We start from the raw sequence: 13,449 nt of genomic DNA on the forward strand, positions 1-13,449 counted from the left end.
AAGATATACAGATATACAGATGGCAAATAAGTATATGAAAAGATGCTCAATATCATATGCCATTAGGGAATTACAAATTAAAACAGCAATGAGATATCACTATATACGTCTTAGAATGGCCTTTATGATGGGCTGGTACAGAGGGTGGCTTCCAGAACCCCTCTGAAAACCAAAGATCAAGTATTAGAATTTAATAAAGATCAGACCCGGTTTGGTGGCTCACCCCCATAATCCCAGCACTTTGGGAGGCGGAGGCAAGAGAATTGCTTGAGCCCAGGTGTTTGAAACCAGCCTGGGCAACATAGTGAGACCCTGTCTCTGGTTTTTTTTTTGTTTTGTTTTGTTTTTTTTTTTTTAAAGATCACGTGAGAGGCATACAAATTCATAGGAAAAAATACGAAATGGACAAAGAACAGGAGTAGCCAATTCACAAAAAAGTAAAACTAAAAGCTTCCAGCATGCTCAGTTCCACAAAATGACAAAACCATGCGGTCCCTTTTTTCTACCTGTTAATTTAGTAAAAGCACAAATGCAAGCATGCATACAGCCCCTACATGTACCCTCTGTTTTAAGTATCCTGATCCTCTCGGGGAAATAGGTGTACCATGTACCATGCTGATGACAGTGTGCTCTGGGGGAGCCTTTTTGGTAAACAGTTTGGCTGTATATATATGTGTGTGTGTGTGTGTGTGTGTGTGTGTATGTATGTATGTGTGTGCATGCTTGCGTGTGTGTGTATATATATATTTCATACTTTAATGTCTGTCTTTAAACTCTGCTTAAGAAAACCATCTCAAGTGCAGTAAATGCCACATGTTTATCATGACACCACTTAGTATAGTGAAGAATGGGAAATCTTAATCTAGCCAGCCAATGGGAGTGTTAGGCAGACTTCACAAATGATGTGTAGAAAGACTGAATAGTAACACTGAACAATGTTTATGATCGTATTGTTGAGTGAGAAAAGCAAGACTCAATTGTACCTTATAAACTCTCTCTTTTATAGTACTTGCCAATTTGTTTTTTGTTTGCAATTCCTTGTCCTTTTTTTTTTTTTGAGACAGAGTCTCACTCTGTTGCCCAGGCTGGAGTGTAGTGGTGCAGTCTCGGCTCACTGCAAGCTCCGCCTCCCGGTTTCACGCCATTCTTCTGCCTCAGCCTCCCGAGTAGACTACAGGTGCCTGCCACCATGCCCGGCTAATTTTTTTTTGTATTTTTAGTAGAGATGGGGTTTCACCATGTTAGCCAGGATGGCCTCAATCTCTTGACCTCGTGATCCTCCTGCCTTGGCCTCCCAAAGTGCTGGGATTACAGGTGTGAGCCACTGTGCCCAGATTCCTTGTCCTTTTTAAACTGTCTTTATGTCTAGACTTGGGAGTATCCTGAGGGCAGAGATGGGTCATAGGACAGAACATGAGAAAAGTATCCGTAGTACTTTTACCCTTAGTAGATAGTCACCCTCCTGGACCTAAGGGTGTACCTGTGGGCAGAATGAATAATAAAACTTTCTTCCCACCCAACATTTCCTAAGAGCTGCTAATAGTTTTCCATATCTTAAAATTATGGGAAACAATATTTAGAGAGCTCCTTTTCACACTGAATAGATTTAAATGATTAATTTTCTTTCTTTTTTTTTTTTTTTTGTTTGTTTTTTAGTTTTTTGAGATAGTCTCACTCTGTCACCCAGGCTGGAGTACAGCAGCTCAATCTCAGCTCACTGTGAACTCCGCCTCCTGGATTCAAGTTATTCTCCTGCCTCGGCCTCCTGAGTAGCTGGGATTACAGGCACCCGCCACCATGCCCGGCTAATTTTTGTATTTTTGGTAGAGATGGAGTTTTGCCATGTTGGCCAGGCTGGTCTCGAACTCCTGACCTCAGATGATCCACCCGCCTCAGCCTCCCAAAATGCTGGAATTATAGGCATGAGCTACTGTGCCTGGTCTTAATTTTTATTTTTAACCTTGTTGAATGTTATTGGATCATTAAGAAGGTTTTCCAATATAGTATTAGCAACTGCAATAAAGATGTGTCTTTCTTGGGGGATGCAGTGATGACGGTGCAGGGCCCATACAGGCAGGGGTGGCGCCTGAGGGTCCCGGGCCAGGCAGCAGCACACAGGTGGCAGGATCCACTCAGGCTGCATCTCCCGTGGTGCTCATCTGGCTGCTGCCATCTGTGCTGGACCCCGCCAAGGTATAGAGTCTCATGGACACGATCTGGAAGGACCCAGACAGTGTGCCATCGATGTCCTCTAGATCAGAGGGGCCCAGGGAGGTGACTACTTCTACTCCTTTGGGGACTGCCACCGCTAAACAGCCTAGCAGCAGCTGCAGCCAGACTGCCAAGCTTGTCCATTTCACCCTCTCGGACCTAAGGGTGTACCTGGGGGCACCCACACCAGACTTGCAGTAACCACCTCCTTGGCACCTGCCCCCACCTCCAAGAGCCCAGAAGACACACCTGGCCTCCAGCAGGCTGGGCCTTCCAGAAGGGATAGCAGGGATGCATTCTCTTTGCACCTGTGGGGAGGGTCTCACTCTGGGCACCCCTCTCACCAGCTGCAAGGCCTTGGACTCATGCTGAACAGTGTGGGAGCCTCAGTTCCAACATCTATGACAGTTGGATCATGGCCTTACCCATGAAGCATTATTGAGAGAATGAAAGGAGAACAGAGATGGGCTTGCAGAGCCACATGCTGCTGGCTCCACATTCCCAGGAACAAGGATCCTACTGCATTTTTGTCTTTATATAACCCTATTATATGGACTACATTCTGCCATAAGGAAAGGAAAACCTTGGTTGCGATGGTTTAAACAAACAAGTTTGTTTTTCCACATAGCATGAATTCCAGAGATGGGTGGCTAATGGTATTGGTTCAACAGCTGTGTGATGGTAGGGGTCACATCTCCGAGATCCTTTTGCCTTGCCCTCATTTGCTTGTTACTTCATGGTCACAAGATGGCTGCCATGTCTCCAAGAATCATGTCTGTGATCAAGGACAAAAGGAGTGGGGGAAGAAGAAGGGCCAAGCTCGCTGGACCTGTCAACTTCTATCAAAAAGTAAAACTTCTGTCAGAAACCTGTTTCCTGCTCTCTCCTCCTGCAGATTTTCACTTAGGTGCCCTTGGCCTGAGCTAGCTACCACTGCACCTGTAGCTGTGAAGAAAGTTAAGACAGTAGGGAACAGAGTTGTATTGGTTGAGTAGACCAGTCATGTTCCATCTACTGAGACTGGCACACTGCCTCCTGAAATAAAACTGGAATCCCATTTAAACAAAAAAAGGAAGTGTCTTTCTTAAATGAGTTTTTTTTTGTTTTGTTTTGTTTTGTTTTTTTTTTTTGAGACGGAGTCTCGCTCTGTCGCCCAGGCTGGAGTGCAGTGGCGCGATCTCGGCTCACTGCAAGCTCTGCCTCCCGGGTTCACACCATTCTCCTGCCTCAGCCTCCCGAGTAGCTGGGACTACAGGCGCCCGCCACTACGCCCGGCTAATTTTTTGTATTTTTAGTAGAGACGGGGTTTCACCGTTTTAGCCAGGATGGTCTCGATCTCCTGACCTCGTGATCCGCCCGCCTCGGCCTCCCAAAGTGCTGGGATTACAGGCGTGAGCCACCGCGCCAGGCCTTAAATGAGTTTTATACAGACAATTGGCATATAGTCCTTTCATCAGTATCCTTAGGTCAAGATTATATTACATTGCAGATTGTCTCCAGGGTACTTTGGAGATGGATTCTAATTCTTATTCTCATATTGCAGTAACAGGGAAACTGAGAGATAGGGGTGTGTCAGAGTTTGAAAGACAAACTATTTGAAGACAGAAACTCTAGTGGAGCTTGATTATTAGCCAAAATACAGAATTTACTATTAAAGAAGAGGGTCCAGAATCCTATCCCAAGAAGTTACTTGGGCATCCAAAAACAGATCGTAAGACACATTGAAAGTGTGGAACTCAGACTTTGTATAAGGCTTTTGTATCTTGAGAAGGAAAATTTAAAACCTTAGGAGGATTGGGAGCTTCACGAGTTCATGATCCTTCTCTGCACCAAGTTTACACGTGCTAACCTTTCTGCTTTAGTAGCTAAACTTTTGATTCCATGAAATCAAAACCTTTTAATTGCTTTCTCTATTGGTGATCTTTAAGAGATAACTTGGGCTTATTGGTGTCAGTCTGTAAAGAAACCAAACTCTGAAGTGTGATACTATCTATTGAATTAGACAGGGGAAAAGCTAATTAGTACTATAGTGAGACTGGAGTGCTTCTCAGATGTTACCTAGTGGCAACTGAGGATGTGGAAGTTTACAGATTTTTAGACAGTCTATCAAATTACAATTTTCAGAAAAAAGTATTTCCAATGACTGCAATGTTTTGCCTCTATCAACTATATACTATGTATGAGTTTTTAGAAATGTTACTTTTGGGGCTGGGCGCGGTGGCTCACGCCTGTAATCCCAGCACTTTGGGAGGCCGAGGCAGGCAGATCACGAGGTCAGTAGTTCGAGACCAGCCTGGCCAACATGGCAAAACCCCATCTCTACCAAAAATACAAAAATTTGCTGGGCATGATGGCGCACGCCTGTAATCCCAGCTACTCAGGAGGCTGAGGCAGGAGAATCGCTTGAACCTAGTAGGTGGAGGTTGCAGTGAGCTGAGATTGTGCCACTGCACTCCAGCCTGGGTGACAGAGTCAGAGTCTGTCTCAAAAAGAAAAAAAAAAAGAAAAAAGAAAAGAAATGTTACTTTTGCACTTTCGTGGCCTTGGCTAGTTTTAAATGCTTTTTCATTGGTAGAAGGCTTACAGAGATCATGAAACATTAATAGTTACCATTTATTGTGTACTCTTTCTGTGCCAAGTACTGTGCTAAATATTTTAGGCATATTATCACAGTCAGTCCTTACAGCACTCCTTTGAGGAACATGGCATTTTCCCCAAAATACATTTTTAAGAACCCTTGAGATTTCAAAGATCAAGACCAGAGCAGGAAGGGAAAGCTCTGGGTCTGAACCAGGTCTGTCTGCCACCAAAACACCACTCTTGATAGGGATGATGATCTTGAACAGTGGTAAAATCTGGCATAATTCAAACACTTAAACTAGTTTGCGTATATGTATAAAATTCCTAGAATTCCTTATAAAACACACTTATGACATTGAAGTTCAGTAACTTCCCATGTTCCATATAAGCCACAGAAATATTGATTTGCCACAGTGAAAGAGTTAGTGGAAGCTATTGGGCCATCCAAAAGAAGCTAAGGCTGAAAAGGCTACATATGGTATGATTCCAAGTACATGACACCGTGGAAAAGGCAAAACTACAGAGAGTAAAAGGATCAGTGGTTGCCAAGGGCTAAGGGGAGGGAGGGATGAATAGGTGGAGCATGGAGGATTTTTAGGAATGTGAAACTATTCTGGATGATACTGTCATAGTGGATTATACATTCATCAAAATACAGAATGTGCAACACCAACAGTGAGCCATCACATGAACTATGGATTATAGTTATTAATAACATATGGATATTGGCTCATCCATTGTAACAAATGCTCCACACTAATGTAAGACATTAATGGGCATAGGTGAGGGGCTATACGGAAATCCTGTACTTTTCTTTTAATTTTCCTGTAAACCTAAAACTGCTCAAAAGTCTATTTGTTGCCTTTTTTTTTTTTTTTTTTTTTTTTTTTGAGACGGAGTCTTGCTCTGTCACCCAGGGTGGAGTGCAGTGGCATGATGATCTCAGCTTACTGCAACCTCTGCTTCCTGGGTTCAAGTGATTCTCCTGCCTCAGCTTCCCGAGTAGATGGGATTACAGGCACCCATCAACACAACCGGCTAATTTTTGTATTTTTAATACAGACGGGGTTTCACCATGTTGGCCTGGCTGGTCTTGAACTCCTGACCTCAAGTGATCTACTCACCTTGGCCTTCCAGAGTGCTAGGATTACAGGCAGGATTCCCTTCATTTTTAAAATTACTGACCCCAGGCCACAAGACATCAATCATGGTAAAAATTCCACTGTCCTTGATGGCACACTTGATATTTTGCTAGCTCTGTGGATGAGCTTTTCCTTATCTGTTTTCTCTCTCCCATTCCAGCTGCCAGCATGCTAGCTGCTTACGTTTGGTCTACCCACTCCCAGCCTGTCCTACCTCCTGCCATCAGATTAATCTTCCTGAAATGGAGTCCTGAGTCTATCATTCCCCTGGGGAAAAACCTTTGTTCATGCTACTCTCCCTCCTCGGTTTCTCCATCACCTGCATCACGTGGTCTGTCCTCTCTGAAATCTCGTTAGAAGCAGTCATTGAAATCAGAAGTGACCTCTATCATAGTATGTTGTTTGTAGCTTGTTGACATTTGTTCAGACACTCTTGCATTAAACATCACGTTGTACTTGCCTCCCCCTCCCCCTCAGTTGGACTGTAGGTTACCTGATGGTTAAGACTAAGACTGTTTTCCCTCCACCTTGGTTTTTGAATCACCTGGAGTGCTTTTAATACAGTGGGTCCTTGAAAAATGCATTCAGCTGAATTCAGTGTGTCTGTGTTCTCAGTCTATCCAGAGCTCTGCTATTAGGTGAAATGGAAGAGAAACTCATTGCCTATATGACTGTTATTGTGACGTACAGTGCAATAGCTGATATGTTTCTGACATTAGAATGCTCTCATTTATTGGTATTTGATCACTGGCATATTATATTTGGGATTTGTAGCCCTACTTTGACTGCTCTACTATGTATTGAATGAAGAGTTTAGATTGGTATTAATATGTTTTAACCAGTACATTTTAAACCAGTCAAACATCTAACCACATGCAAAAGAAGGGCACGTACTTATCATGCTTCTTCACATGCTTACCATGCTTGTTACATGACAAAGGGTTGCCTTTACCTATTTTTCCTTTTAGAAGATTGAAAATATTTAAATGATGCTGTTGTTTTGATCACTGTTTTACATTCTTTGAAGATTGAGGAATCTGGTGACTATTTTATCAAGCGATTTTTCTCCTGGAGTTTTCTTTTTTAACCTTTTGTGGCTTAATTCCAGTAAAAGATTTTCAAGTAAGTGAAAATGAGTTGCATATATCCATTAAGTCTTTTTCTTTATCTTAAGTAAAAGGGGAGATGAAGTAGAAATATTTAGCAACTCAGTTATTGCCTCTAGCATTTAAGAGTTCAGCTTGAAGAAAAGTAGTTGACTTGAAAGAATATGACTTAAGGACAGAGGTGAGAAGGAGATAAAGAAGTGCATCTATAGGAACAAATTTGTTTCTTATTTGCTTTAAAAATTGTTTAAGTAAAGCACATTTCACCAAGTTGAATTTCAGCTTGAGAGATGTCCAGATGTGAAACGGCAAAACTCCAAATACTGCATATACTGTGCTTTTAGAAAAATAAAGTAGTTTTTTTGTTTTGTTTTCTTTTTATTCTTTAAAAATGAAGGTCAAGAAAAATATCAGCAGGAAAGTCAGAAGTGGATTTAGATATATAAATGTCCTCATTGAGGAACAAGGGGGTGATCTTTTTTTTTTTTTTTTTTTTTTTGAGATAGAGTCTTACTCTGTTACCCAGGCTGGAGTGCAATGGCGAGATCATGGCTCACTGCAGCCTTGACCTCCCAGGCTCAAGCAATTGTTCCACTTCAGCCTCTTGAGTAGCTGGGACTATGCGTGTGCCACCATGCCTGGATAATGTTTGTGTTTTTTACAGAGACGGGGTTTTGCCATGTTGTCCAGGCTGTCTAGAACTCCAGGGCTTAAGCAATCCTCCCGCCTCAGCCTCCCAGAGTTCTGAGATTACAGGCATGAGCTACTACACCCAGCCAGGGATGATCTTTTTAAAAGGAAGTATAGTTTAATAATAATATGCAGAAAATAGGCTTAAGATTTTAGTTGACTATAAACTTAATATAAATCTATAATGTAATGTGGTTGCCCGAACCATTCTTAAAATATTAGGTTGTTTCAGTATGTTTTACTGTTTTGAGGAAAGATAAGCATCCTATTAAGATTTCAGGTGGACATACTTTTTAAGCTTTTGTATTTGTTTCACTTATAAAAATCATCAAGCTATAACAAAACTTAAGTCAACTTGTGATGTTTGCCTTCCAACAGTAGCTGATGGCATATTTTTTTCAAGTTCATACTGGATTATAGTTGAATTAAAAGTTATTTCTTAATTCTCCAGGATAATAGAAACATTAATTGTTCAGAGAAACTCCAAATATAAGGAACTTTAGAGAAAAGATGTGTTTGAGTATGTGCGTGTGTTGGGGGAGGGGGTTGCCGGAATACATGATGGAAACTTGTCTAAAGAATTCTAGTGCTTTAACTAGAGCAGAAAATAGAGCAGAAAATAGCCACAGATGTTAACTGACGGTTGAACATGTGTGAATTGGATCTTTGAAAATTTACACATGGATTTTCTTTGCAAGTTATGTGCTTCACAGAGAAGAAAGGTATATGTTCCCTTTTGCATGTCTGCTTGCTTTCCAAAGACTAGCTGCTATCTTAACTTAAAAAATTTTATTTTTCATGCCAGAAAACATTGTATTTTAAAAATTGATAAAGACACTCCATTTGTAAGTACTTGTTTTAAAGTAATATATCTAGAAGGCAAGATAGTGGCCCCCTTTCCTGTCAATGTGGAGTTCCAAAGCAGCTGAAGGTAGAAATTAACAGTCGGTAAGAGAGCTATCAAAAGAAAACCAGGAGCCAGAGACCAACTACTGGTAGTCAGTAGTAATTCTGATTGTCTACTCAATCTGCCAAGGAAAACTAAATACATTTTTTCCCCTGAGTCAGGTTAACACTTAAAGTATAAAAGGAAGTACATTCAGGATCTCATATGCCATAGTTCAAAATATTTTTTTACTTTATATATCATCAGATACATACGTGCACACACATGTAAATATGCATCATCCATGGGATGTGATCTCAGGGAGATAAGTACCAACTCATATATTCCTTTTAAACCCACTCACCATTGCCCCAATTTTTGTTCCTTCTAACTGCATTCAACTCTTCAATTCATAATCATACAGATTCATGCAAATAACAGTAACGTGTTTACCTGGTTTTACATTCTAATGTTCTATTTCTAGAACTGCTTAAAATGTTAAGTAGCACGCATTCCTGTAGTCTTAGTTACTCATGAGTCTGAGTTGGGAGGATCGCTTGAGGTTGAGGCTGCAGTGAGCTGTGAATGTGCCACTGCACACTAGCCTGGGTGACAAAGTGAGACCCTGTTTCAAAAAAAAAAAAAAAAAAAGTAAGTATATAAGAAAGACACTGTAAAGCAGAAGTTTTTCATTTCTTGTAAGTTCACCAGAGGAGTTGGGAATTGGGAAGAGAGTTGGGTAGCAACAACTAGAAGTTAGATCCATCGCATACGAGTATGCGATTGTTGAATTACATCCTTACCTGGAAAATGAGCTGTTGTAAGGGTTAAATGAAAACCTATCTAAAGCACCTATTTTAGAGTAGGAACTCACTAAGATGGTAGGGCTGCTGCTTTTATAAGGGGACTGTATTAGTCCATTTTCACGCTGCCGATAAAGACATACCTGAGACTGGGCAATTTACGAAATAAAGACGTTTATTTTATTTTATTTATTTTTTGAGACAAGAGTCTTGCTCTATCACCCAGGCTGGAGTGCAGTGGCATGATCTCAGCTCACTGCAACCTCCGCCTCCTGGGTTCAAGAGATTCTTCTGTCTCAGCCTCCCAAGTAGTTGGGACCACCAGGCACGCACCACCATGCCCAGGTAATTTTTCTGTATTTTTTTAGTAGAGACGGGGTTTCACCATGTTGGCCGGGCTGGTCTCAAACTCCTGACCTTAGGTGATCTGCTCACCTCGGCCTCCCAAAGTGCTGGAATTACAGGTGTGAGCCACCACACCCGGCCCAAGAAAGATATTTAATTGGACTTACAGTTCCATGTGGCTGGGGAAGCCTCAAGATCATTGCAGACGGCAAGGAGGAGCAAGTCACATTTTACATGGATGGCAGCAGGCAAAAATAGAGAGCTTGTGCAGGAGAACTCCTCTTTTTAAAACCATCAGATCTCGTGAGACTTATTCATTATCATGAGAACAGCACAGGAAAGACTTGCCCCCATGATTCAATTACCTCCAACCAGCCCCTCCCACAACACGTGGGAATTCAAGATAAGATTTGGGTGGGGACACAGCCAAACCATATCAGGGACATAAGTGGAAGAAGGGATATAAATAGAGTTTAGGATTTCAACTTTGATGTATGTAAGTAATGGCGGTTCTTCTGGGTGCTGCTTGGCAGTAATTGAACGGAGGTTATTTGCCCAAAGTTTCTTTGAATTTATCAGCTATTTACCAAACACTATTGATGGAGTTGACAGGACCACAAAAAAGACTCACAGCATTTTCATCTGATTCCTAGTTTTCAGGAGAAAAATTAAAGTTCTTTGGGAGAACTTTAAAATGTTACATTTAAATATAGTTAATAAAAAATGGCTTTTGGGTCCAGTGTTAACGTTAGTAAATTAATGTGATTGAGTTTCAAGTTTTTGGCTTGTGCATGCTTAAAACTTTGTGAGTCAAGAAATTCCTATTATAAATTTATTATCTTAAAAATAAGATCTGCTCCCATACCAGAGAAGATGAGACAATGAGTCTACCATCCTAACAAACCCAACACAGATATGTTTCAAATCTTTTTCCATCTCTTTTTATTATTTTTTTAAGTTTACATACATGAATTCATTTTTTGGTGTAAAATTGCACAAGTTTTAACTTATATATTCCTGTAATCACCACCACCACACTAAGGATACTAAACTGCTACATTATTCCTAAAAGTAGCCCTTGTGCTACTTCTCAGTAATTAAGCACAACCTTCCTCTACTCCAAACCCTTGGCAACTACTGATCTATGGTTTTACTTTTTCCAGAATATCACATGAATGGATTCATAAAGCATGTAATCTTTTAAGACTGGCAGCCTTTATTCAACGTAGTGCATTTGAGATTTATCCATGTTGTGTGTAATGATATGTTCCTTTTTATTGCTGGATAGTATTGCCTTGGAGAGAGATACCACAGTTTGTTTGGAGGACATGTGGGATGTTTTCAGTTATTGCTGATTATGAATAGAGCTGTCATAGACATTCGTATACAGAGTTTTGTGTGAATATAGTTTTTTATTTCTATGGGATAAGTATCTAGCAGTACTGGGTCATATGGAAGATGTATGGTTAACTTTATAATAAATGAACAAACCATTTTCCAGGATGGCCGTGCCATTTTGCATTCGTGCCAGCAATATATGTGAGTTCTATTTTTTTCTGCAACTTCCTCACACTTGATATTAAGCTTTTTGTTTTAGCCATTCTAACAGATATGTGGTAGTATCTCAGTGTAGTTTATTGTTTTGCATTTTTCTAATGGCTGATTATTTTAGCTATTTAAACTCCTTTGACATTTCATATAGAAGTTTTATTTGCTCATTTGGTAAACTATCTGCTCAACTCTTTTGCCCATTCTTTAAAATTCGGCTTTCTTATTGTTGAGTTCTGTGAGTTCTTCGTATATTTGGATTCAAGTTCTTTGTTGGATATATAAAAAGCAAGTATTTTCTTTTAGTGTGTAGCTTGTCTTTTTACTCTTATCAGAATCTTTCAAAGAGCAAAAGTCTTTAATTTCAATAAAGTCCAATTTATCTTTTTTTTTTTCATTAATGGTTTGTGCTTTTGGTGTCATATCTAAAAACTCTTTGCCTAATCCAAAGCCACAGAGATTCCCTGGGTGTTTTTTTTTCCCAAGAGTTTTATGTTTTACATGTAGGTCTGTAACAATTTCGGGTTAATTTTTATATAAGATGTAAGGTATAAGTTAAGGGGGGTTTTTTGCCTGTGGATTTTTAATTATCTCAGCACCACTTGTTGAAAAGACTACTCCTTCTCCATTGAATTGCCTTTATACCTTTGTCAAAAACCAGTTGACCATATTTAGTAGAGACGGGGTTTCTCCATGTTGGTCAGGCTGGTCTCGAACTCCCGACCTCAGGAGATCTGCCCGCCTCAGCCTTCCAAAGTGCTGGGATTACAAGCGTGAGCCACCGCGCCCGGCGCATTATAGTAAGTCTTAAAACTGGGTAGTATGAGTACTCTAACTTTTGTTTTTTCAAAATTATTTTAGCTATTTAAATTCCTTTGCCATTTTCATGTATAAAGTTTATTATTGGCTTGTCTATCCCTTGAAAAAATTCTGCTAGGATTTTGATTGGAATTGCATTAAATCTATAGATCACTTTGAGAAGTGACAACTGTGTTAGATCTTCAAGTCCATGAACATCATAGGTCTCTCCTCTTTTTTTTTTTTTTTTTTTTTGAAACGGAGTCTCACTCTGTCACGCAGGCTGGAGTGCAGTGAGTGGCACGATCTCGGCTCACTGCCGACTCCGCCTCCCAGGTTCAAGCGATTTTCCTTCGTCAGCCTCCCGAGTGGATGGGATTACAGGCACACGCCACCATGCCCGGCTAATTTTTTGTATTTTTAGTAGAGGCGAGGTTTCACCATGCTGGCCAGGCTGGTCTCAAATTCCTTACCTCATGTTCCACCCGCCTCAGCCTCCCAAAGTACTGGGATTACAGGCATGTGCCACCACGCCCGGCCTAGGTCTCTCCTTTTATCTAGATTGTCTCTGACTTCTTTCATCAGTGTTTTATAGTTTTTATCTCTCTTTAAAGTTGAAGAATCCATTGATTCTGATGTTTGGGGGTTTTTTGTTTGTTTTTTTACCTTTCTTCCTAACAGAAATGTTTTCAGAATCTGATTTAAGTTTCTTTTACTGCAGTAGGTACACTAGAAAACATAATTATTTGTCCAGATCTCCATCTTATTTAGTGTTGGACCCAGGCCCTCAATGACAGAAGGTCCCCTTTAATAGGGCAGTGACTATGTGTACCAATTCCACGGGTCTAGCCAGCTTTTCATAAGTGACAACAGACCAGAGAGCATACTTACGTCACTATTTCCTATTTCTCTCATCTTTATTTTCAGTTACAGTTTCTGTCTTTGGGGAAAAGCAGGCAAAATCTAATTTGTAATGGATAGAACTAGCTGTCCACTTAAACAATAGAAAACTGAGTCATAAATTCTGTCTTTATAAAACTCCTCCATACTTTTGGAAAATGACTCACTTTTAGGCAGCGTCTGCCATAGATATTTGCCAGAAAGTGATCTAACTTGGATAAGCTTGATGCTTTGTACAAGTTTCAGAGCCCCTGTAGAGAAAGCTCTTAGGAACCAGAGACCATCGTGTGCCTGTCTGTGTCCCGTGACTTTCAGTCCATCAACACACGTCACTGTAGCATTTTGGAATGTTCTGGTTCAGTTGCTCTCAGATGTTAGCTACTTCAGAACCACCTGGAGGGCTTGTTAGAACACAGATGATTGTGTACCACTCCCAGAAT

General features: G+C 40.6%; 1 protein-coding gene and 1 pseudogene across 4 annotated transcripts in view; both read left to right on the forward strand.

Moving 5' to 3' along the window:
• The window catches only part of IQGAP2 (IQ motif containing GTPase activating protein 2), a 304,848-nt gene that overhangs the window by 105,073 nt on the left and 186,326 nt on the right, over positions 1-13,449 (forward strand). The gene's annotated exons all lie outside the window — the stretch shown is intronic.
• On the forward strand, positions 2,044-3,286 carry SRXN1P1 (SRXN1 pseudogene 1; annotated as a pseudogene).

This window comes from Homo sapiens, chromosome 5 (assembly GCF_000001405.40).
Source record: "Homo sapiens chromosome 5, GRCh38.p14 Primary Assembly".
Lineage (NCBI taxonomy): Eukaryota > Metazoa > Chordata > Mammalia > Primates > Hominidae > Homo > Homo sapiens.